The sequence below is a fragment of the Homo sapiens genome, chromosome 10 (assembly GCF_000001405.40).
Source record: "Homo sapiens chromosome 10, GRCh38.p14 Primary Assembly".
Lineage (NCBI taxonomy): Eukaryota > Metazoa > Chordata > Mammalia > Primates > Hominidae > Homo > Homo sapiens.
In genome coordinates this window covers 16453345-16480296 of record NC_000010.11, presented here as the reverse complement: position 1 = coordinate 16480296, position 26952 = coordinate 16453345, and the positions used below count along the sequence as shown (strand labels likewise).

Below are 26952 nucleotides of genomic sequence, written 5' to 3'. Positions count from 1 at the left end.
AATTGCTTGAACCTGGGAGGTGGAGGGTGCAGTGAGTCAAGATTGCGCCACTGCACTCTAGCCTGGACAACAGAGCGAGACTCTATCTCAAAAAAAAAAAAAATGCTATAGTCAAATTACAAAACTGAGTTTTGGTGGATCAGTTTTCAGTTGACTTTCCCAACTCCTCCCCCAACCATGAAAGGTCTAATTCTTATCATACATCCCTTGTTTCATTCTACTCATAGTATTAGGTTGGTGCAAATGTAATCACGGTCTTTGCCATGACCGTGATTACATTTGCACCAACCTAATACTATGAGTAAAATGAAGTGATGGTAAAAACCAGAATTATTTTTGCACCAACCTAATAGTTTGGTGGCTCTGAAGAAACCCTAACTGACAAAAAAACGGGAAGGCATCTCAGGGTTTTTTGCAGACAATATGAAGTGAAGAGCCTGGCAGCCGTGTACGAATGGATGAAGGGAGGGGGCCCGTTGTACCTGCAGGGAGCCCCATAGGATGTCGCTATTATCCAGAAAAAATCAGGTAGTGTCTTGTCTGAGATGACACCAGTGTAGATGGCAAGAAACCAGAAGCAGTAAGAGGCAGAGCAGATGGAACTTTCTAACTGGACTTGCTGGTACTATAAAAGTATCCTCCAAATAAATGGACTTCTAAGAAAAAAGTGCTGTCTGGCCCAAATAGATCAGCACTTCTATTTTTTGAAGTGTTACATCACAGAGCGCGGCTGCACTCTAGAAACACTGCACTTAACACTGACATTTGATTTGTCACAAAAATATTTTTTAAATGCATCCTTTTTTTTTTTAAAGCTTGTTTGAATACTTCCATTGTGCATACAGGTTCAGACCTGCAATATATCTTCTTTGAAGCAGCCTGGGCCTGGACACTGACCAACGGTGACACCAGGAGTCCCTCCTTGGACACAGTCATCATGCTTCTACTCTCTCAGCTATTTATGGTGTAATGGCCCTACTGCATGTGCATTTATAACTTTTAATATTAAACACTGTCAAAAGAATCAGTAACCATGCCTGAATGAAAAGAAAGAAATCCCACCACTTAAGGATACAGAGCAATAATGGGACCCAGCAAGTTCTTTAAACTGTGACATAAATAAAGCAAAACTGCTCAGAGACACAAATGAGCAGCTTGTCGTTGGAGGAAAATGTTGGGTTTCATTCCCAAGCTTTCCTTTTTTTTTTTCAAATTGACTAAGAATGTAAGAAGAAAACCTGAGGAAATGTGCAAATTCTAAACAATTACGAGGACTATGGCAGTGACGAACCCAGGAAGTGACAGTGCTGGGAAAAGGCCTTTGCAGACAGGTCAGCCTGGGAAAGGTCTCCTCCTCTGGGTCAGCTCAGGCTTTTGCCATCCTGCATTCCTTGATGTGAGGTGTTCATCTTAAACTGGTAAGTAAATCCATTGAAGCCATTTGAAAACCCAGAAAACACATCAGACTCCTTGAATAAAAAAAATCGGCTTGTGGCTTCATTAACTCTTCAGTTTAACTTGGGCCAGTCAACCTCAAGTCACCAGGGTTGAGCAGATGGCCTTTGTGTAGACTGTGGTCTACAAACTTGTAACTGGTACCAGTGGCTTCCCAAATTTCTCTGTTTAGTGGCCAACTGAAAACATTTTTTTTTTTTTTAAATGGGGCTGGGCACGGTGGCTCAAGCCTGTAATCCCAGCACTTTGGGAGGCTGAGGCAGGCAAATCACCTGAGGTCAGGTGTTCGAGACTAGCCTGGCCAACATAGTAAAACCCCGTCTCCACTAAAAATACAAAAATTAGTCAGCTGTGGTGGCAGGCACCTGTAATACCAGCTACTCAGAAGCCTGAGGCAGGATAATCGCTTGAACCCGGGAGGCGGAGGTTGCAGTGAGCCAAAATCGTGCCATTGCACTCCAGCCTGGGCAACAAGAGCAACACTCCAACTCCAAAAAAAAAAAAAACGGAAACGAGGGAGGAAAAGGGAGAGGGAGGAAGAAAACAGTATTTCAACCCAGATCGAAGTGCAACATTACTCACTATAGTAACATCCTAGAGTTGGGACAAGTGCAATATTATTGTCAAGACACTGTCGGAATAACTGACCTTTAAATTTTACTTAATTTGAAAAACGAGATCTCATCTCTGCCCTTTTCATTCTCAGAAGGTTCCACACTCAATGCCTTGAGAATGTTTGATGTAAAATTCTTGATTTTACTAGCAACATATATTCCTGAGAGTGAAACATACACCAAGTTATTTGAATACAATGGTTATCACCTGCTTTTCTTCATGAAGAACTCTCCACGTTGAAGTCTGTCCTCTGCTTTTTCTACAGGGGATTTTCTGTCCCATGAAACCCTAGTCATAGGTTGCCTCCCAGAAACAGTGATACTTTGAGCCAGCTGCACAACTGGTCTTTAGCTGTATTTGATCAGTAAAGCACTTAAAATTTGTATTACTTTTAAGTCCTGGCAAACTACAGACAAATGTTTTAAACATGTAAAATATCTATATTCCTCTCATAGTTTCATCTGGAAGGCTATTCTTGAGGTGGTGTGGTCTAGTTGGTAAAATGATGGGTTCAGAGGTAAGAATCCATGGCTCTTCACTAAATAGCTGTGTGGGTTTGGGCAACTTGGTTAACCACTCCACACCTGTTTTTCCCATCTGTGAAATGAAGGGGTTGACCAGATAACTTCCAGATGGCATCCATGCATCAGTGATTCCTTTAGCTTGAAATGGATATTACTGACCACCTATAGATCACTAACAAACAATGAAAGCTATACTTGCACAATGGATTTTTAAATGTATATTTTAGGCTGGGCACAGTAGCTCACGCCTGTAGTCCCAGCACTTTGGAAGGCCGAGGTGGGTGAATCATTTGAGGTCAGGAGTTCAATACTAGCCTGGCCAACATGGTGAAACCCCATCTCTAAAAAAAAAATAAAATAAAATGTGTATTTTACATGCATGTGCAGACAGACAGACATCCATCTATCTATCTATCTATCTATCTATCTATCTATCTATCTATCGAAAGACAGAATGAATTTCCAGTTCACATCCTTCAAAGTTTAAAAGAAAACTCTAGGCCCAGCATGGTGGCACATGCCTGTAATCCCAGCACTCTGGGAGGCCAAGGCAGGCAGACTGCTTGAGCTCAAGGGTTTGATACCAGCCTGTGCAATATGGCCAGCCCATCTCTACTAAAAACACAAAAATTAGCCAGGCATGGTGATGTGTGCCTATAGTCCCAGCTACTTGAGAGGCTGAGGTGGGAGTATTGCTTGAGCCTGGAAGCCAGAGGCTGCAGTGAGCCCAAATCACACCACTACACTCCAATCTGGGTGACAGAGTGAGACCCTGTCTCAAAAAAAAAAAAAAAAAAAAAAGAATTCTAGGATGGAGGGGTGGTTTGAATAAAACCCCAATGCCAGGCACAGCAGCTCAAGCCTGTAATTCCAGGACTTTGAGAGGCTGAGGTGGGACAATTGCTTGAGTCTAGAAGTTTGAGACCAGCCTGGGAAACATAGCAACACCTTGTCTCTACAAAAATTAGCTGGGCATGGTGGGGCACTCCTGTGGTCCAAGCTACTCTGGAGGCTGAGGTGGGAGGATCACTTGAACCTGCGAGGTTGAGGCTGAGGCTGCAGTGAGCCTTGATCACACCACTGCACTCCAACCTGGCCAACAAAGTAAAACCCTGTCTTAAAAAAATAAAAAAGAAGAACCCAAAACTTGGAGTCTTGGCTCCAGTGTTTTCTGGCTGTGTGACTGTGGAGCATTTAAAAGCTTCTCATGACTTAGTTTCCTCACTTGAAAACTGGAATATCTGCCTGATTAACCACATAAGATTTGAAATAAAAAGCAAGTAAAACGATACCTAAAAGCACCACTTAAATAAGAAAGTATGAGGTCGGGCATGGTGGCTCAGGCCTGTAATCCCAGCACTTTGGGAGGCCGAGGTGGGCAGATCACGAGGTCAGGAGTTCGAGACCAGCCTGGCCATCACAGTGAAACCCTGTCTACTAAAAATACAAAAATTAGCCAGGTGTGGTGGCACGCGTCTGTAGTCCCAGCTAGTCAGGAGGCTGAGGCAGGAGAATCGTTTGAACCCGGGAGGCAGAGGTTGTAGTGAGCCAAGGCCGTACCATTGCACTCCAGCCTGGGCAACAGAGCGAGGCTCCATCTCAAAATAATAATAATAATATATAAATGTTCAGGATTATGATTATTAAACTGATAAGAACAGACACTACACTTGATCTTTGCCAAAAGGCCAAGAAGCAATAGGATTATGATTATACATTAAACTTTGAACTATTTTCCAAATATTTGCTGAGTATCCTTGGACAAATCAGCATAAACTTGTTCTTTCAAAAAAATTAGCAATAAGGGGCTTAAGTTTATGAACAAAACTGAAGCTGTAATTTGCTTATCCTCTAAATGAATTTCTTCATTTGAGGCCTGTGATTAAAAGTAGATTGACAGCTGCAATTGACATCACAACTCATTAGGTTTTTGGAAACGATGCACCAAAGTGACTACAGCTACAGGAGGTCCTCATTATCCATGGATAAGCAGTACTGGAAATGACGTTTTCGATGAATGTGCTTCCTACAGTGGGTTAGTCTCCATGATGACCTTCAGTGCATTCCAATACTCAAATCCTTGTGTAGCCCCCTTCTACCCTGTACCAGAGCTGGTCGGTGAATCACTTTAACCAACAGAATGTGAATAAAGTGATGCAAAGCCAGTTTGGGACCCATATCATTGGAAGCAGCTTCTGCTTTTGTGCCTTGCAAAACCCCGAGTTGCAATGTAAGAATCTGGCTACCTTCCTACATGGAGAAGAGGCCCTGAGACAATATGGAGAGAAAGAGAGTCTCCAGCCATCCCAGGGCCCCCAGTCATTTCAGCCTTGAGGCCGTCCCTGTGAAGGTAGCAGATAAGTGAGTTACCCTGGACATTCTAGTCCAGCCAAGATCCCAAATGATGTCAGGCCCAGCTAAATGCAACTGGCAGAATCTGACCAACCCACAGAATGATGAGGGACAATAAAATGGTGGTTGTTTGTAACCTCTGGCTTAGGGATGGTGCTATAAATGTGTGTGTCCCTCCAAAATTCCTATGTTGAAATCCTAATCCCCAGTAACAGTATTAGCAGGTGGGGCCTTTGAGAGGTGATCAACTGATGAAGGTAAAGGCTTCATAAATGGAATTAGTCCCTTTATAAAAAAGACCCCAAAGAGCTTCCTCCTTCCTTCCACCATGTGAACACACAGCAAGATGACCATCTGCAAACCAGGACATAGGCCCTCCCAGACACCAAATCTGCCAGGGCTTCAATCTTAGACTTCTCAGCCTTCAGAATGATGAGAAATAAATTTGTTTTGTTTTGTTTTTTGAGATGGAGTCTCACTTTGTCACCCAGGCTGGAGTGCAGTGGTGCGATCTCGGCTCACTGCAACCTCTGCTTCCTGGGTTCAAGCGATTCTCCTGCCTCAGCCTCCTGAGTAGCTGGGATTACAGGTGCACGCCACCATGCCCAGCTAATTTTTTGTATTTTTAGCGGAGACGGAGTTTCACCATGCTGGCCAGGCTGGTCTCGAACTCCTGACCTCATGATCCACCTGCCTCGGCCTCTCAAACTGCTGGGATTACAGTTGTCACCCACGAAGCCTGACCAAATTTCTTTTTTTTTGGTAAGCCACCCAGGCTATATTATTCTGTTAGAGCACCCCAAATGGGTAGGTGGTTTGTTACACAGCAGTAGGTATTCAAAATATAGAGACTAACGCCGAATAATATGTCATTTTTAAAGGGCTTAAGATTTTACACTAAAAAAAATCAAAATAAGTCATCATTATAAATATGCCCTAATGGTTAGAACAAAGAATTATTTGAGTGTTAGATTTGGTGGGGAGGGAAGATCATTTTTCTGACAAAATTATGTGAGATGACATTCTTTTCTTGACTTTTGTACCCCAGTGATGAAAAAAGTTTTGCAAAAATATTTTTGAAGACTATCATTTTCTTTTTTAACCAAGGTCCTCTATTAACTGGTTGTTATGCAACTTCTATTCTGAAGCACTTGTCTTGATACCATTCCTACCAATTTCTCCTCTTGGGCTGTTAAGGGTCTAACTCCCAGGTTCAAACAACTTTCCTGCCTCAGCCTCTCAAGTAGCTGGGATTACAGGCACATGCCACCACAACTGGCTAATTTTTTGTATTTTTAGTAGAGATGACGTTTCACTGTGTTGGCCAGGCTGGTCTCGAACTCCTGACCTCGTGATCTGCCCACCTAGGCCTCCCAAAGTGCTGGGATTACAGGCCTGAGCCACGGTGCCCGGCCAGGTACTTTATTATTTAAGTAGTGCTTTTAGGTATCATTTTACTTGCTTTTTATTTCAAATTTCATGTGGTTAATCAGGCAGATATTATTCCAGTTTTCAAGTGAGGAAACTAAGTCATGAGAAGCTTTTAAATGCTCCACAGTCACACAGCCAGACTTTGGCTTTGGAGGTATTTTGGCATTTCTCCAATATCTCTTTCAGCAGCTTCATGACAAACTGCATCTTTAAGGTTTTCAGTTTTAGTTTGCAATCTCTTTGCATCTTATTACTTGATATTTATGAGCGTTTACAGCATTCGGCCAGAGACGAAGAAAAAGATGCGGAGATGCAAGGCAGGAACAGAAAGTGATATTAAGGACACAGGAATGCTTACAGGAGAACTAACTGTTTTTTTTTTTTTTTTTTTTTTTTTTTTCGGATGGAGTCTCACTCTATCACCCAGGCTGGAGTGCAGTGGTGCGATTTCGGCTCACTGCAACCTCCGCCTCCCGGGTTCAAGCGCTAGGAGAACTAATTTTTAATAGTGAGTTCATTTGTGCATAGATTTGGTTTATCTAAGGAACTTACTAACTGGGGTGTGCTGGAGAGGAGGACTCATAATGAATATATCATGAGGTTCCACAGTATATTCCAGCACTGCGTGGATTTATCTTCCTTTGACTTCATCAGGGGCTTCGTCAGGTTAGAGGTGGGGTGGGCAGAAGGCCTCCTTTATTCCCAATAGTTACATAGTATCTAGTGTTTATTTTGCATCAGTGAGACTCATTTGAGCCGAATAAAGAGAAGGAAAGTATCACAACTAGTTTATACCTTAATTAAAGAATGAAAGAGCCAAACGGTTTATTCCAAAGTGAATAAAGTACAATGTGCTCTAACTCTAAAATTCCAATAAAGTTTTTTCCTTTTTTTTTTTTTGGTTGAAGTTTGCAAGGAAATTGGGTATGTAATATGGAGAGCTATGCCCTAAGACCTACTCGATTAAATTACTCTACAAATACTTTATCTTTTATGTCCAGACAACATGAAGTCTGGTTTAAATGTTGACTTCTTAGAAATGAAGAGAATAGAAGCTACATACATAAAATTCTCACTTCTACAAACTAAACCTGAAGCACAGTGTATTTTATTTGTATAAATTCCAGATGGCACAACATAATAGAAAACTGTTCAAATTTCAAAAAGCTGTCCAGAGGTCCAAATGCCAAAGAAGTAAAGTATTTATTAGGAATTATTATCCTCAGATAAACCCCAAAACATGGTGGGGGAGAAGGACTGTATTAGTCTGTTCTCAGGCTGCTAATAAAGATATAACTGAGACTGGGTAATTTATAAAGGAAAGGGGTTTAATGGACTCACAATTCCATATGGCTGGGGAGGACTCTCAATCATGGCGGACGGCAAATGAGGAACAAAGCCATGACTTACATGGCAGCAGGCAAGAGAGCTTGCACAGGGGAACTCCCATTTATAAAACCAGCGGATCTCATGAGATTTATTCATTACCAGGAGAACAGTATGGGGGAAACCGCCCCCGTGATTCAATTATCTCCACCTGGCCCCACCCTTGACACATGGGGATTATTACAATTCAAGGTGAGATGTGGGTGGGGACACAGTCAATCCGTATGAGGCATACATGATTCCAGTTTTATCATGGGATAAATGCTAAATCATAAAAATAATATCTATATAATATTTAAGGAACTTATACTAGCAATACGAGAAACACCAAATAACCAACTGCAATTTTTTATTTATAGATATCCAGCTTCACATTCAAGATGAAATCTTTCCATTTAAAATGGTAACTTAGTCCTTAAAAGTTAGCAGTAGTCATATTGTGGGAATCCAATAGAAAGCATCACTTGAGAGACAGTTACAACAAATCCAGCCCGTTCATTGACTCATTTGTGAAAATAGGAAGATTGTAGTGAGCGTGGAGGTATGACAACCTCCTAGCCACACGCTGGCAAAAGTGCAAATTTGCCCAACTTGTCTGAAAAGTAATTTAGCAGTAAGTATCCCAAGTCTTAAAAATGTTGCTCTGCTGGTGAGAATCTGTCTTAAGAGAATATTTAGACATGTGTAAAAAAGATTTATACTCAAAGAGTCCATTATGGCATTATATAGATGGCAACAAAATGTCTTATAACATAGGAATGTTTACATATAAACAGGATGGAACATTATGCAACCATTCAATTATATTTGCAAAGAATATTTAATGACATAGAAAAATGCTCTTATATTCTGTATGCTCTTTGATGTGAAGAAAAAAATGAGGAAAATAAAGAAAAATGCTCTTATTACCTGAAAAAGCAAAACACAAAACTAGTTTAAGTATTTTAAATACGATAAAAATTTATACGGAGTGTATGTATCTACACATAAATAGGACTTAACAGCCAGAGACACTAAAATGTGAAGCTCATCTTTGAGCAGGAGGAGTGAAGATCGACCATTTTTTTTCCTTCATTACAATTTAATGTATTTTCCAGTTTTTAATGTTTATAACATTTATAATCAGTAAAAGGGAGTAAAATGGGAAAAGATCAATGTTACTAGTGTAAATCCATCAGATGCTTATTGTAATGTCACAGGTAAAATAGTAACATATACATTTTGAATCCCCCAACCAAAACACACAGGCAGGCAACGAGTTATGAACTCAAGAGCTATTTCAAATTCTTTATTATCACAAAGTTGCTAATTGCCTGTCTTGCCTGAGACTTGATATTGTTCCTGCGCAATATTTCAGATCAAATTACATGCCTTTCTAGTGCTATGGTTCATTTTAATTCAATTCAAGCTGTTTGAGGTAGTCCATCGCCGACTGATTTTGACTTTGGTGGAAGTCTTGAAGCCCAGTGACAATTCTAGAAAAAGCTCCATGGCCTGAATAATTCGTATCACAGTTAAGCCAGACCAGGAACAAGATCTCATCTGAACACACTCATATGAGGGGTTAGCAGCGGAAATGGAGGCGGGGGTGTTGTGAAGGGAAGTTCTTAATCATAAATTAGGAAGTGTCAGTCATCATTTTTAAGTTAAAAAAAAAAGAATCAAGAACAATAAATTGTAAGTAAAGATAAACCATAAAAATAGAACCATAGAAAGAAACCTTTTTAAAGAACAGAACCATAAGAAGAATTTTTTTTGTTTTTTTTGAGATGGAGCCTTGCTCTGTCACCCAGGCTGGAGTGGAGTGGCACAATCTTGGCTCACTGCAACCTCCACCTTCCAGATTCAAGTGATTCTCCTGCCTCAGCCTCCCAAGTAGCTGGGATTACGGGCACCCGCCACCACACCCAGCTAAGTTTTGTATTTTTAGTAGACATGGGGTTTCACTCTGTTGGCCAGGCTGGTCTTGAACTCCTGACCTCAAGTGATCTGCCTGCCTCGATCTCCCAAAGTGCTGGGATTACAGGCGTGAGCCACCGCTCCCTCCCAAGAAACCCTTTTAATGGAGGGCGAAAAGCCTCAACAGGATGAAATAAAAAGTTACTATGGATTTGATAAATATGTATTAAGCAGTTAATAAGTGTAAGATGTTATTCGAGGCAGGTAAGGTCTATGGGAGATACAAAGATAGATAAGAGTCCTGTGGCCTCACTTGGAGGCTGGGAACCAACAATAATGCCTTTTGTTCATTGACTAAGCTTCTACTATGTGTTGCTTAAAGCACTTTACATCTCTTATCTCAAATTTTCACGAATGCATTGCTGGCTTGATATTCTATGAGGAAAGTAAGGCCAAGAAAAGTTAAGAAACTTGCCCCTGGACTGAAAGGCTGCAATTCCAACCTAAGTCTGCTTAGAGAATGCCAAATATTGACTATGAACAGCACTTCATACACAGTTCTGCTAAGATTAATTAGACTAGTTTAGCCGACAATAACAATAGATAGCAACCTTATTGTAAAATTACCATGTGCCAAGCCCAGCACTCGGTAATTTACATGACATTTCTATATTTTTCACATTCTCTCTGATGCAACATCTACAAATGCTCTTATTTAAATTAAAAAAAAAAACAAAAAAACAAACAAAAAAAACAGCCAGGCACGGTGGCTCATGCTATAACCCCAGCACCACTTTGGGAGGCTGAGGCAGGAGGACTGCTTGAGCCCAGGAGTTCGCAATCAGCTTGGGCAACAAAGTGAGACCTCATCTCTAGAAAAACAAATCCCAAAATTAGTCAGCCATGGTGACATGCACCTGTGGTCCCACCTACACAGGAGGCTGAGGCAGAAGGATCACTTGAGCCTGGACTCGAGGCTATGAGCCAAGTTCATGCTCTCAGAAACAAACAAACAAACAACAGAATGAACTCAGATTTCATCCAAGACTCCTGCCTCACCCACACCCACTCAGTTTCTAAATCCCGTAAATTCCACCACTTTAATAGCTCTTTGATTCCTTTTCCCCTTCATTCTCACAGTCACGATCTTAGTAGGAACCACCATCATCTCACAGATGGATTCCAGTAAAAGCTTCTCAGAAGTCTCTCTGGCTTTGCAATCCACCTTAGGAAGCCTATACAGCGCTCTTTCTAAATCGCAGACAAGAATGTGTCTCTCCCTGAGTCTTCTTCTAATCTTAAAAAACAAATCTGAACATAGAGCCTGATAGTACCCTATGAACCCACTCTGCACTCACCTGCCCTTTCCTGGACTTTTTATCTTCTCCCCTGTCGCAAGGTCTCTGAGCAGGTTTCTGCCTCTTTGCTCTCAGCTTGCAAATCCAGCCCACTCCCACTCTGCCTCCCTAACCCTTTCCCAGTCCTGGCCAACTTCTACTCGGCCTTCAGCACTCTTCCTAACTAGAAGATTGTCCTGTGGTTCCTCCTTGTTGCTCAAGCAATACAGGTAAGATGTCAATTCTAGGTACTCTCATAGCACCTCAATTTCACCTTAATAATGCACTTCTTCTGATTTTTGTTTTTTGGCTTTTTTTTTTAAGAGACAGGGTCTCACTCTGTCACCCAGGCTGGGGTACAGGGGTATGATCGTAGCTCATTGCAGCCTCAAACTCCTGGGCTCAAGAGATCCTCCCACCTCAGCCTCCTGAGTAGTTGGGACTACAAGTGCACGTTGCCACACCCAATTATTTTTTTTATTTTCTATAGAGAAAGGGGTCTCCCTGTGTTGCCCAGGCTGGTTTTGAACTCCTGGACTCAAGGGATCCTCCCACCTTGGCCCCCAAAGTAATGGGATTATAGGCATGAGCCATTGCACCTAGCTACCTTCTTCTGTTTTATGTCTTTTCCATCAGACTTTGAGCTCGTTGCGGTGAGTCACATCTTTGCCTCTCAGTCCTCAGTTCCCTGCAGTGCCTGGTACACAGTATGTATTTAGCGAACATCTAGATGCTTGCTTGTTTTAGTCCCGCTTTATCCACAAAGGGTTTGAGGAGACTCGCACAAAGGAATCATACAATAAAGTAAGAAAACAAAAATTAAAGCAGAAGCAAAGAATTATAAATAGAAGTGGAATTAGCACTAGAAAAGAACAACAAAAATGTGTAGTTAATAGAGGTTAAAAGTCACTAAAAAAAAAAAAGAGCTAAACATTTTCCTGGAAGTTTTTTGTTTTGAGATGGAGTTTTGCTCTGTCACCCAGGCTGGAGTACGGTGGTTTGATCTCGGCTCACTGCAACCTCTGCCTCCCTGGTTCAAGTGATTCTCCTGCCTCGGCCTTCCGAGTAGCTAGGATTACAGGTGTCTGCCACCACACTCGGCTAATTTTTGTATTTTTAGTAGAGACGGGGTTTCGCCATGTTGGCCAGGCTGGTCTCAAACTCCTGACCTAAAGTGATCCGCCTGCCTCAGCCTCCCAAAGTGCTGGGATTACAGTCATGAGCCACCATGCCTGGCCATTTTCTTGGAATCTTTATTTAATATATTTCTGACAATAGATAATTCTGAGATCACAGCACAGCCCTTTTACGGAATATGACATTATTTTCCCAAATCGGAAGAGCTAAAAATTATTAAAAAGCATGGAAAATGTTTTTCCCAAAGTGTTTGGGCTCTGGATTTTGAAGCCAGGTTTGCTTTTTCAACTTTCCTGTATCTTCACACTCCAAGTTCTCAGAAGGCAGCAAATATACTATTTTATTTTACTATTATTATTGAGACATAATTTTACTCATGTAACCCAGGCTGGAGTGCAATTGCACACTGCAACCTCCATCTTCCAGGTTCAAGCAATTCTCCTGCGTCAGCCTCCCGAGTAGCTAGGATTACAGGCACCCACTACCACACCTGGCTAATTTTTGTATTTTTAGTAGAGACTGCGTTTCACCATGTAGGCCAGACTGGTCTCGAACTCCTGACCTCAGGTGATCCACCCACCTCAACCTCCCAAAGTGTTGGGATTACAGGCATGAGTCACTGAGCCCGGCAGCAAATGTGCTATTTTAGATTATTATTCTGTACCCAACTACATAGGAATACATAGCCTTTTTATGTTTTGTTTTTGTTTTTTTAACTTTCCCTTACTATCCACAGTAGTGCCCTCTTATCCAAAGAAAATCTGTTCCAGGGGCCCCAGTGGATGTGTGAAACCGCAAATAGTACCTAACCCTGTAGATACTATGTTTTTGTCCCATATATACATACTTATGATAAAGTTTAATTTATAATTTAGGCACAGTAAAAGATTAGCAACAATAACTAATAATAAAATAGAAGAATTATAACAATATGCTGGAATAAAACTTACGTGAATGCGGTTTCTCTCCTCTCTCTCTTTCTGTCTTAAAATACCTTAATATTTTCAGACTGTGGTTGACTACAGGTAACTGAAACCACAAAAAGCAAAACCATGGATAAGGGGACAGTAGTGTAAGAGCCAGAATCTTGAGCATATAAAAAAATAACAGCAAGTGACTTCATCTCCAAAGACATTTCCTATCTGCATTGGTGGAAGTCAACTGAAAATCAGAAAACTAAAAATACTTAGTAAAGTTACTGCAAGTGACTCATGGCCATAGGTCTTCCTTTATAAGAAGTAAAACTGGATAATGGCTCTTAGGTAAATGTTTTAAATGTATAGACCATCCTCAGGAATTTCTTGCTAAGGCCGTTTAATTTTTAAATAAACTTTGAATCACAGAAAGGCTGTATGATTCAGTTGCACAAATAACAATACAGTATATCTAAAAGGTATTTCCCACACAAGTCTCCCCAGGTCCTTTGAAGATCACACGGTAGACTCTCCAAGAAAAGTCTTGATTTTGGCTACCACGTTTTGTTAATCCAGAGTTGAAAAGAATCAGGCCAGGTGCAGTGGCTCATGCCTGTAAGCCCAGCACTTTGGGAGGCAGAGACAGGCGGATCACTTGAGGCCAGGAGTTTGAGACCAGCCTGGCCAACATGGCAAGACCCCATCTCTACTAATAATACAAAAATTAGCTGGGCGTGGTGGCCCATGCCTGTAATCCCAGTTACTTGGGAGGCTGAGTCATGAGAATCACTTGAATTGGGGAGGCGGAGGTTGCAGTGAGCTGAGATGGTGCCACTGCACTGCAACCTGGGTGACAGGGCAAAATTCTGTCTCAAACAAACAATCAGTGCAGATACCTGTTTTTAGATGGTCTAACCTAGCCTGTTTGGTGTAAAAAAAAAAAAAAGGTAGTTATAACAGAAAAAGGTCTGACAGCCACTAGCAGGGAGCTCAGAGACTTTTCCATTCTGACTCTAGCCCTTGCCTTGCTCTGGTCTGCTGCCTGCCTGGACACCTGCCTGGGAAAGTCAACACCATAATTGATGAAAAGGAGAGTTGTACTTGTAACTAGATTTTGTTTTGATAACTAACTCCATTCCCATACTTGGAACACTAGGTACAACTCTAAGCTATAACAGTGATATGGTTTGGCTTCACGTCCCCACCCAAATCTCATCTCAAATTGTAATCCCCATAATCCCTACATATTGAGGGAGGGAACAGATGGGAGGTGATTAGAGCATGGCGACAGTTTTCCCCATGCTGTTCTCATGATAGTTAGTGGGTTCTCATGAGATCTTATGGTTTTATGAGGCAGTTTTCCCTGCTCTCACTTGCCCTCTCTCTCCTGCTGCCATGTAAGACATGCGTGATTCCCCTTCCACCACAATTTTACGTTTCCTGAGGCCTCCCCAGCCAGGCAGAACTATGAGTCAATTAAACCTCTTTCCATTATAAATTACCCAGACTTGGGTAGTATCTTTATAGCAGTGTGAGAATGAACTAATACAAACAGCAATTGCACAGAGGCAGATGATCAATAAATGTCTGCTCAACCAATGAGCAAATATTTCTGTTCTATCCACCCTTCAGTTCCATACTGATGGAATGTAATTTCAGCCACAAGCAAACCTATGTTTTCGTTGGCATTATGTCCTCTTTATAGGCTTGTGACCAATGATCTTTATGCTTCCTGAAATATTAAGAAAAACTGCTTTGATTTACAGATCTGAGGGGGCAACTTCGGTCTTAAGTTCTCAGGGCATAGGAAGGGAATTCAAGGAAATCAGCTTTCCAAACGTGCTAATTTCACCTGCATACATTTCAATTTAATGTTGCAAATGTTTCCTGAGGATCTACTAACTTCAACTGAAGATATGCAGGGAAACGAAGATGAAAAAGAAACAATCCTGGCCCTAGGAGAGGAGCCACCAACACAGTGCCTACCTTAGCACATATATGGTAAGCATTCAATGAGTCACTCATCGTTTTTATATATTCATAGGATACTTACGATACAAAGCAGAGTGCAGTAAATGTCAGGAGAGAGGTACTGATATGGTTTGGCTGTGTCCCCACCCAAATCTTATCTTGAATTGTAGCTCCCACAATTCCCATATGTCATGGAGGGACCCAGTGGGAGGTATTTGAATCATGGGGGTGGGTCTTTCTCATGCTATTCTCGTGATAGTGTTTAAGTCTCACGAGATCTGATGGTTTTATAAAGAGGAATTCCCCTGCACGAGTTCTCTCTTCCCTGTTGCCATGTAAGATGTGACTTTGCTCATCCTTCCCTTCCCACCATGATTGTGAGGCCTCCCCAGCCATGTGGAACAGTGAGTCAATTAAACCTCCTTTCTTTATAAATTACCCAGTCTCAGGTATGTCTTTATCTGGAGCATGAAAATGGATGGATACAGGTACAAAGCAAGTGCCCTGTGAGATCGGTGTGGACAACATTCACTGATACTGGAGGAATGAGAAGGCTTCCTGGAGGAGGTGGCTTGTCACAGAGACATTCTGATGATATGAGCAATGAGGAGCATGTTTCCAGACTTTAAAGCATCCCGTAAAGGCTGATTGTAGGTTGTACATTAGCTTACAGTGAAAAATACTGACACAAGGGCTTGGCCCAGAGGATGAGAACTACATAAGGGCGATCATTAAGTAGGCAGTTGGAATACAGGTTGAAAGCTGGAGAAACCAGAGACCAGGAGACGAGTCAGGAAACACAAGCCTAAATAAATACTGTTTTCCCCCCTGCTCCAACTTACAAAAGTATTGTAATAATCATAGTTTGAAAACAAAATAGGAAAGCCTTCAAAGTTGAGTAAAACCAGCATGACCTGAATACTTAACTGATCTCTCGATTGTGTTTATTGACAGGAAAAAAGTTAAATCAAAATGCTGAGAACAATTAGAAAGTTCCTAGGAATTGAATTCTGAACTCTCAAGGCCACAATGATGACCACTATTAATAAAGTATTGTATGGATGTGTCTTCATAAAACTCTGACTATATTAAACCCTCAGCTTTCTATATTGCTGGTTTCATTACCTTCAAGAGATTATGGAAGATCAGAAGTGTTATCTGCCATAATAATGCTGTGTGTTTCTCTGAAGAGCTTAGATCCTCTACACACTTTAATTAAATCTCCTAATGTACCGGTGAAGTAGGCAAGGGATCAACAGAAGGTGAGTCATCAAAAACAGTGGAAGACCGGACCGTCGGATGTACTTTGAGACGAAATCCACTTTTATTATTATTGTTCCCATTTCACCAATGAGGAAATGGGGTTATTATTGAGACAAGGATGATGAGCTGTATTCCACTTTCACTAAAGGCAGAATCCACTGCTATAGGTTCCTTAAGCATCCTGTGGGAGACCTTTAAAAATAGTATAACAACCATGACCTCTGAGATTTCTCCTTTGGGCGTCGACCAACACTTATTAATAAACACCTAAAATGTGGGCCAAAGAAAATATGCGTTGGCCGGGCATGGTGGCTCACGCCTGTAATCCCAGCAGTTTGGGAAGCCGAGATGAGCGGATCACCTGAGGTCAGGAGTTCGAGACCAGCCTGGCCAACACGGTGAAACCGTGTCTCTACTAAAAATACAAAAATTAGCCGGGCATGGTGGCACCCGCCTGTAATCCCGGCTAATCGGGAGGCTGAGGCAGGAGAATTGCTTGAACCCGGAAGGCAGAGGTTGCAGTTAGCCAAGATCGCGCCTGCCATGGCACTCCAGCCTGGGTGATAAGAGCGAGACTTGGTCTCAAAAAACAACAAAAAAAAGAAAATATGCATCACCTGTTTCTTATAAAAGAACACAGGACAAGAATCCCAATTTATCATGATAATCCCAATTAACATTTATCATGATAATCTCTTAGCTTTAATTAAGTGGTTTATCAGGAGCTTGGCTGAGTTCTTCCCTCTGTCTCCAAGTTTCCCTCAGCTAGACAGATGAGTGAGAAACAGTATTTTTTTTTTTTTTTTTTTTTTTTAGACAGAGTCTCGCTCTGTCGCCCAGGCTGGAGTATGGAGTGCAGTGGAACAATCTTGGCTCACTGCAACCTCCGCCTCCCGGGTTCAAGCGATTCTGCTGCCTCAGTCTCCCGAGTAGCTGAGACTACAGGTGCCTGCCGTCAAGCCCGACTAATTTTTTGTATTTTTAGTACAGACGGGGTTTCACCATGTTAGCCAGGATGGTCTCCATCTCCTGACCTTGTGATTTGCACTCCTCGGCCTCCCAAAGTGCTGGGGTTACAGGCGTGACTCACCACGCCCGGCAGCCATCAATCTTAAGGAGGTAATGTTAAGAGTAGATTATGTGGCCGGGCATGGTGGCTCATGCCTGTAATCCCAGCACTTTGGGAGGCTGAGGCGGGTGGATCACTTGAGGCCAGGAGTTTGAGACCAGCCTGGCCTACATGGTGAAACCCCGTCTCTACTAAAAATACAAAAATTAGCCAGGCATGGTAGTACATGCTTGTAATCCCAGCTACTCAGGAGGCTGAGGCAGGAGAATCACTTTAACCTGGGAGCCGGAGTCTACAGAGCGCTAAGATTGCATCACTGCACTCCAGCCTGGTCAACAGAGCGAGACTCTGTCTCAAAAAAAAAAAAAAAAAAGTAGATTATGTGGAAGACACAGCACAAATCGCAGGGCTGGAAAAATTGCAAAGACGAGAAAACTCACAACAAGTCTTAACTCTTGGTTCTACCCTTAGGATACTGCTATAAACAAACCCTAAAGTCAGACTCAGAAAAACAAACACAAACGCCACCATCATATATGATTTAATTTGTAAACCAACTGTACTTCTTATAAAGGAAATAAATAAAGGAAGTAAACCACTTTGACAGATTATCCACTGCTCTCTCAATCCAACCACCTCTCATAAAGTCCTAGGAAAAGGCTGGGCGTGGTGGCTCACACCTGTAATCCCAGCACTTTGGGAGGCCGAGGCGGGTGGATTGCTTGAGGTCAGGAGTTCAGGACCAGCCTGGCCTTCATGGGGAAACCCCATCTGTACTAAAAATACAAAAATTAGCCAGGCGTAGTGGCAGGCGCCTGTAATTCCAGGTACTTGGGGGGCTGAGGCAGGAGAATTGCTTGAACCCGGGAGGCAGAGGTTGCAGCGAGCTGAGATCATGCCATCACACTCCAGCCTGGGTGACAAGAGCAAGACTTCGTCTCAAAAAAAAAAAAAAATCCTAGGAAATACGGTCATGGCTTCCAGTAAAACAGAGACCCCAGTTTGAAAAAAAAAGTCATGAAAAAGATAAATGTTGTTATTTTAGGTAATGATTTGGTATCACTCAAGTCTTAAAAAGTAATGGAAATGCATATAATGAAACCCTAGGGCAATATATGGTTATAAAATAGGTATATTGATTCAGAATATGCTTAAAATGGTTTGATGATTACAAAAATGAAAAGACAAAATCAAAATTTTGTTGAGAGTTTGTGGAACTCCAAGTTTGAGAAAAATTGCTCTAGAGGTCGCCTTTATTAATGGTCTAGGAAAGAACTCAAAGTAACAAATTTTGTCTGGTCCTAAGAGAGTGTGGCACCTGACAGAGAGAAGTGTTTTGGGGAAAGACTAGTATCTGATGTACTAAAAGTAAGGTAACAAACAGCTAATTTCAACTCCTGAAAGCTGATTTACTACAATGGGGTCAAGGGCAAATCTGTAATGACTACATGTGTCATAGAGCAATAATCACTCTTTCCTGGTCTTTGAGATGGCTGAGAAAATACTCTAACTGAATTCTAAATTCTCTAGCGAAAAAGTCTCACAAAAATAGAAAAAATCTCCACTATCAAATAACAAATTTTAATTAACTCATATGTATATATAATTATATATGTAATTAAATATAAAGGAATTTAATTATATTTAATTTGCTAAAATTTAATTTGCTTATATATTTTCCCCATAAAAATAAGCTGCAGTAAAATATTTAGAAAGGTTCCTCTAGTACCATAGCTTAATTGAGCACCTCAATCATTGCTATCACCTGCTTCCTAAGAATTCACAGAAAATCACATATTTAAAATATTATTTGAGACAATGATTTATCTATATACTTATATAATTATGCAAGTGAAAAATCTCCTTTCACTGTAGTTTTAACTGTAATTTAACAATATTGCCGATATATCAAATGACTGTAATTTTTGGCCAGGTGCGGTGGCTCATGCCTATAATCCCAGCACTTTGGGAGGCTGAAGCAGGTGGATCACCTGAGGTCAGGAGTTCGAGACCAGCCTGGCCAACATGGTGAAACCCCGTCTCTATCAAAATTACCAAAATTAGCCAGACGTGGTGGCGGGTGCCTGTAATCCCCGCTAATTGGGAGGCTGAGGCAGGAGAATCTCTTGAACCCGGGAGGTAGAGGTTGCAGTAGGATGCCTGGGCAACAGAGTGAGACTCTATTTAAAAAAAAAGACTGTAATTTTCATCTCTTTTTGATTAGACTTATATCTGCAACTTTAATAATTTTAATACATTTCTTAAATAAAAAAAGAAAGTTTAAGTCAAATTACAAATCTACTGCTAAAAAATGTCAAATTATTAAATGTCATCCAAGTAAGGACTGGTTTTAAATTGAGATTAATGGTTTTTAAAGTAGGTAAAATATATTATTAAGTATTAAAATGTATAATGCTTAAAATAAAAATATTTGCATTTCAATTAATGTTAAATACTATTTGACTTTAGAATTTTTGAGCTGGAATAAACTATGGAGATCATTTAATTTGATGACTTCATTTTTAGATGCTAAAATGGAATCCTTAATCTTTTGAAGGTCAGATAGCCTAAACTAGAACCCAGTCTCTCAACTTGTCCAATGTTTGTTTTACTAACTATGTAGGTATTTACTATGAACATCAAAATTAGTTATTCTTGTCTCTGTTAATAAAGAAGTATTAACCCAAGGTAACATCACATCTTAGCCTAAAAAAGAGGCTATGCTAACCCAGGACCAGAAGACCTAATCTCAATTCCACTGTTCACTGAATGACACGAAACAAGCCCTTTAACTGCAGTGTGCTTTCCTTTTCCTAATTAGAAAAATAAGACTCTAGTAATTTAAATTGTCTTCTTCATTTGGTCATTGCAAGAAGGGGTAATAAATATAACCCTGGGCTGGGTGCAGCAGCCCCTGCCTGTAATCCCAGCACTGTGGGAGGCCGAGGCGGGCAGATCACCTGAGGTCGGGAGTTCGAGATCAGCCTGACCAACGTGGAAAAAACCCCATCCCTACTAAAAATACAAAATTACCCAGGCATGGTGGCGCATGCCTGTAATCCCAGCCACTCAGGAGGCTGAGGCAGGAGACTCGGTTGAACCCGGGAGGCGGAGGTTGTGGTGAGCCAAGATGGTGCATTGCACCCCAGCCTGAGTAAGGAGAGCAAAACTTGGTCTCAAATAAGTAAATAAATAAATAAATAAATAAATAAATAAATAACTCTGAAATATACAGCATATCTAAGTGCAAAGCAAATACTTACTAACAAAAACTCAACTATATTTAGACCAAGGAGCAAGAACTAGTTTGAGTCATAATTAGGAGGGAATACATACGAGCTGCTGTGTGACCTCAAAACATCTGAACTAGCAGATGCAGGGGTGTATCTAACAAGTCCTGTAGTTCCTAAATGTTCCTAGTTTTTTAAAAATAATCGATATTTATCTAAACCGTACAATAATTATCAGTTTGAGAACAAATTAGAGCCCTATGATTTCTCAAAGGCCCCATTGATTCCTTAAACAGAGACAAATGTGGAGTAGCTACAGCACTGCTGGTAGAATCTGAAGAATTTACTATAGACCCACCCTGTAACTGATATATGCAGAGTATAAACCTTTGCAAGTATGATTCTCTAATAGTAAAATATACTTGCCCAAGTGACACGTAAAATCGTCCAGCTTCAGCTGACCTTTAAAAAACAAACAAAACTTATCAACTGGAATCTCTTGGATAAGAAATAGATCTTGCGACTGGAAGGGGTGAGAAGAATCACTAAGTGGGTTTTAAAAGTGTTGTAGAATGCAAATTTTTGAAGAAAAATACATTGATACTATGCATGGAGAATAGTCTGAAAGAAAATACCCAGAGATGCTAATATAGGTCATCTCTGGGGGTAGAATTTTTAAGGCTTTTTAAAAATCTTTTTTCCCTTTGCACTTATCTGTTCTGTCTGATTTTGAATATGGACTAATTTTGTTGTATATATAAAAGGTTATTATTCATGGAAAAAATTGTGCTTTAGTCTCTTGTATTGAGGGAGGTAAGGTGCTTTATGCTCACTTCAAAAATGAAACAAAAAGGCTGTCAATGTTAGTGGTTGTGATAGGAATGGAAATTGGACTCACGCTTCTTGTGTCTTGGTACTGTTTTTGGTTGCTTTAGAGGACCAGCAGAGAGGGAGCAAATCTGGAGAAGCAGCTTCAGTGACAGCTTTCACACCCAGTAAATACTAAAGGGCAGAGTTGCAAATGGTTTCTAGATACTTCTAAGCTTACACTCGCCATGCACTCCTTCCCCACAACTTTCATTCCTGGATTGCACGTCTCTGTCTCAAATTTAAACAAGCATTGCTTTCAGTGTTTAATTACAATTTAACGGAAATATGACTTGCATTCCAATTAGCTTTTGGTTTTCACATCATGAATGTGCATCTAAGTTATTGTGTCATTATAATCTCCTGTTCTAATGGCTTCATAATGCAAGTCCCTGCAGGGTTGAATTAGTAGTTTCCTATGGTAATCGCCCATCACTATAATATCATAATCGCATAAGCACAGTCCCCCCATGCATACACTGCAATCACTTTGACATTGTAAGAGCATTTTAATAGTATTAGCATAGATTCTCCAGAGAAATCATCTCATTGTCACTGCATTACCACATAAGATTAATTGTGATGGAGCCAAGTTGTGATATGAGAGCTTAAAAAAAAAAAGTGCTGGGCAGCAGCAAAACATTTCACTTCTCAAAAGTTCAACCCATTTTGCAGTCAGGTCTTCCTACAATCTTTAATTGAATATAAGGTCTTTCCACAAGATAATAGGGTTTCTTTTGTTTTGTTTTTCTTTCTGTTTGCTGACAGTTCATACAACACTAATAAATTGGGTCAGACCCTCTCTACCTTAGAGACAGAAAAAGCAGACATGGTGCCTGTCTTCAAGGAGTTTGCAATTTAATCAGGTTTATAACAAATTTTATACAGCATGTAGGTAAATGGAATGAATACACTTATGATAAACAAAATACTTTGAGGGCCCCGCATGGTGGCAGATGCCTGTAATCTCAGCACTTTGGGAGGCCAAGGCAGGTAGATCACCTGAGGCTGGGAGTTGAGACTAGCGCGGCCAACATGGTGAAATCCCGTCTCTACTAAAAATACAAAAATTAGCCACCACACTACAGGTGTGGTGGCACGCACCTGTAGTGCCAGTTTCTGGGAAGGCTAAGGCAGGAGAATCACTTGAACCTGGGAGGCAGCGGTTGCAGTGAGCCAAGATCAGGCCACTGCACTCCAGCCTGGGTGACAGAGTGAGACTCTTTCTCAAAAAAACAAAAACAAAGTACTTTGAAGTAACTGGCATTACATAGCGGTGAGAGTAACTAAACACGGCTTTCCTAAAGAAGAAATGCTTAATAATCAACTAAAGGGGCCGGGCACAGTGGCTCATGCCTGTAATTCCAGCACTTTGGGAGGCCGAGACGGGCGGATCACGAGGACAGGAGATCGAGACCATCGTGGCTAACACGGTGAAACCCCGTCTCTACTAAAAAATACAAAAAATTAGCTGGGCGTGGTGGCGGGCGCCTGTAGTCCCAGCTACTCGGGAGGCTGAGGCAGGAGAATGGCGTGAACCCGGGAGGCGGAGCTTGCAGTGAGCCGAGATCGCGCCACTGCACTCCAGCCTGGGCAACAGAGTGAGACTCCATCTCAAAAAACAAACAAACAAACAAACAAACAAACAAAACAACTAAAGGGTTAAACGTATTAAAGCGTTAATGACTATGAGGCAGAAATGAAGCGCATGTAACTCGCTGAAGCCTTTGTATTCACTAATTCACTCTGGGAAGAAAGAAGGGTGTTTTCATGCTGCTGATAAAGACATAACCGAGACTGGGTAATTTATTTAAAAAAAGGTTTAATGGACTCACAGTTGCACGTGGCTAGAGAAGCCTCACAATCATGGCAGCAGGCAAGAGAGAATGAGAGAGCCAAGTGAAAGTGGAAACCCCTTATAAAATCATCAGATCTTGTGAGACTTATTCACTACCACGAGAACAGCATGGCGGAACCCCCCCCCACCTTCCCCATGGTTCAGTTACCTCCCACCAGGTCCCTCCCACAACATGTAGGAATTATGAGAGCTACAATTCAAGATGAGATTTGGATGGGGACACAGCCAAACCATATCAGCCACCAAAGACACTAGCAATGGACACAGCCACAGCCCTATCCAAGAAGAGAGCAAGAACAGGTAATGCGCAAAATTCTTCTCCCCTGCGGGTACCTCTACTGCTTTCAGTGGAGAGAATGGAAGGTGGGACCTTGTTCTTTATTGCTAAGAGAAGAACAAGCAGAGCTATTCTTCTGAAGCCTGAGACCAAGAGCCAGAAAAAAAGGAAACTCCTATGCAGAACAGCATTGCCCAGCTTCCAAGAGTCTCCTTGTTTGCTTTTCATAGTTGCAACAACAGTGCAAAATGACTACCCTATGTCAATGACAAATGATGCACACTGCGGAGACTGGCAGGATATTGTGTTCATTTGAGGGGCCTCTAATCTCCTGGCATTCTCTGGGGACACCACAGGAGAACTACAGAAGGATTATCATAACTCTTAAAGAATCATCTCTGCTCAATGTTTAAGTGAGAACAGGATCACAGACAGCATTTAGTACAATGGATGGCCCATAGCAGGATTCTGTAAATGTTTATGGATGGATGGATAAGTGAACTTGACTGGAAAGAATGTACGTATTTTAGAGCTGCTTTGAGTCTCAAAACACAGGTGAACAGATTTAGAATATGTACTCTCTGGTAGCATTAACAGAAGAATGAACAACTGGCAACGTCTTTTGCACTGTGAAAACTCACTTGCCTTCTTGGTTATGGCAAATCACAGCATTCCGGGGATGATGGTTGTTCATTTTCCCTGTCTCAGTTTCTGTTGGCCTGGGAGAACTCAGAATTACTTAGATGCTCGGTTTCCAAAAAAAAAGTAATAACACTTTTTAAATTGGAACACACTAAGTATAAAGATGTGTTCTCTAAGTGCTCAAAGTTACTTTTACCAACAAGCTGTGGAGCAATCCAGTATAAACCTATTACAAACACAAAATTAGCTGTCCTTCCTTTGAAATTATTTTTCACTTCATAGGTAAAGTCTCTATGGCACTTGCTATTTTATTCTTGAGTTCTTGTTTAGGTATCAGATGAAGTTAAACCTTTACCTCTTGGCTTGCTCTTTTTATTTTTTGAGAGGGTCTCGCTCTGTTGCCCAGGCTAGAGTGCAGTGGCATGATCGTGGCTCACTGCAGCTTCAGCCTCCCAGGTACAAGTGATCCACCTCGCTCAGCCTCCTGAGTAGCTGGGACCACAGAAATATGCCATCTCACTTCACTAATTTTTTTATTTTTAATAGAGACGAGGTATTGATATGTTGCCCAGGCTGGTCTCAAACTCCTGGGCTCAAACGATCCTCCTGACTCGGTCTCCCAAAGTGTTAGGATTATAGGCATGAGTCACTGCACCTGTTAATTTGTCACTGACACGTGATAATCATTTTATGCCACGGTTGCAAATATGGAAAGCAAACCAAGGAAACTATTGGGGCCAGGGCAGTACTTTTCTGCTCAGAAGTTTCTCTTTTTTCTGGCCCTTGGTCTGATGCTTCAGGAGAACAGCTCTGCTTATTCATTTTTTTTTTGTTTTGTTTTGAGACAGGGTCTCTCTCTGTCATCCAGACTGGAGTAAAGTGGCATGATTATAGCTCACTGCAACCTCTGACTCCCAGGCTCAAGTGATCCTCCCACTGCAGCCTCCCTAATAGCTGGGACTACAGGTGTATACCACCATGCCCAGGTAATTTGTGTATGTTTTGTAGAGACAGGGTTTCACCATGTCCCCCAGGCTGGTCTTCAACTCCTGGGCTTAAGTGATCCACCTTCCTCAGCTCCTCAAAGTGCTGGGATCACAGGCATGAGCCACTGCACCTGGCCAGTTTAGTCTTTAGGTAACTTATTTCGTACAGTTTTCATTATGCATTAATATGAAAATGTTCTTTTATTACATTTGATTATCAGCTTTTATTATTTCATTACTATATAGTACTTATTATCAGTTTATTATTATATATTAGTATTTATTGTTCTATTATTTATTGTTATTAGACATAATTGTAGATTAAAAATCAAGAACTTGGAATGTTTAAATGTACATATACTTACTTGCCATAAAAATGGAAATTATATTATATGTCTTGACATTGCTTAGAAAAATATGTTTTTCTCTCTTGTTCACGTATATTAGAAACACAAATAATTCCTGATTCAATAGGCTAATTCTCTAATTCAATAGGTTAATTTTTTTTTTTTGAGAGTCTCATTCTGTTATCCAGGCTGGAGTGCAGTGGCGTGATCTTGGCTCATTGCAACCTCTGCCTCCCGGGTTCAAGCAATTCTCATGTCTCAGCCTCCTAAGTATCTGGGATTACAGGTGTGCACCACCACGCCTGGCTAATTTTTTGTATTTTTAGTAGAGATGGAGTTTTGCCATGTTGCCCAGGCTGGTCTTGAACTCCTAGCCTCAAGCAATCCACCCACCTCAGCCTCCCAAAGTGTTGGGATTACAGGCGTGAGCCACCGTGCCTGGCAGGTTAATTTTGTATTTATACGAATAATAGTAGTTATAAAGTATGTTCTGTGCCACCAAAAATTAATGTTAACTTACTGTATTTCAAAAATGGATTAGAAGTGGAGTTGGTTGACCATGGAATTTCTGTAATTTAAAATAAAAGTGGATGCTATTTCACTGTACTCCAAAAAATTGTCTCCCTCACAAAAAAATAGACACAGACGGGATGACATAATGCTTTCTGAACATATCACTATTTCCCCAAGAGGAAGAAAAGCTAAAACTTTACCAACTGCATAAATGTGACACAGCTGATATGCCAGAAGCACATATTTGGGCAAATCACTTAGTCTGAGGACCTCAGTTTTCTCATTAATAAAACAAGGGAGTGGAACAAAGTGATTTCTAAGCTTCCTTCCAGATACAAGTTCTATGAGTCTATGTGGAAAGATGTTACATGGGCTCTAAATGACCTCTCCAGAAGCTTCTCCATTTGTTCACATCTGTTTAAATATTACATGAACAGGGATATATGTATAGTAGAAAATCAGACAGACCATTTTGTTACAAGGAATGTGAAAACCATTGATATCTTTCTTTATATGAATTTTTTCTGATGTCCCATTAGGCAAACCATACTTAAATGAACCATATTCCAGTATTTACTTTACTATAAACTTAGTATAAACAACAGATTATTACTAACAGATGCATGAAATAAAAATACTTCACAACCCAGAAGTTCCAGATTGTTAATTATTTATTATCATTCTTCATACTGCTTGTGAGTAAGAATAGAGGCGCAAGTATACAATAATGGTGTCTTTATAGTAGCCTTCAAATACGTGATGCTGACTGCCTAAGCAACTGAAAACGGCTGGCTATATCCCAAATAAAAGTTCATATAATCCACTATCTAGGCATATATGTATTATATATATGTATATATGTGTGTCTGTATATATGCA

At 40.9% G+C, this 26952-nt stretch overlaps 1 protein-coding gene and 1 pseudogene across 10 annotated transcripts in view, besides 1 other annotated feature; both read right to left on the bottom strand.

The window, feature by feature from the left end:
• The window catches only part of PTER (phosphotriesterase related), an 82011-nt gene that overhangs the window by 38724 nt on the left and 16335 nt on the right, over positions 1 to 26952 (bottom strand). Inside the window, exon 2 of one of the 10 annotated variants that reach the window (NM_030664.5) lies at positions 13087 to 13165. The exons of the other annotated variants lie outside the window; for them this stretch is intronic. The gene's annotated coding sequence lies outside the window, so the exon portion shown is untranslated. The remainder of the gene's footprint in view (positions 1 to 13086; positions 13166 to 26952) is intronic. 10 annotated transcript variants of the gene reach the window in all.
• RNU2-18P (RNA, U2 small nuclear 18, pseudogene) lies at positions 4133 to 4294 on the bottom strand (annotated as a pseudogene).
• Positions 14200 to 14400: a silencer, noted in NCBI's record as "peak880 fragment used in MPRA reporter construct". NCBI's record gives its function as "represses an SCP1 promoter by STARR-seq MPRAs in K562 erythroleukemia cells {active_cell/tissue: K562}" and the evidence as "EXISTENCE:reporter gene assay evidence [ECO:0000049][PMID:32103011]".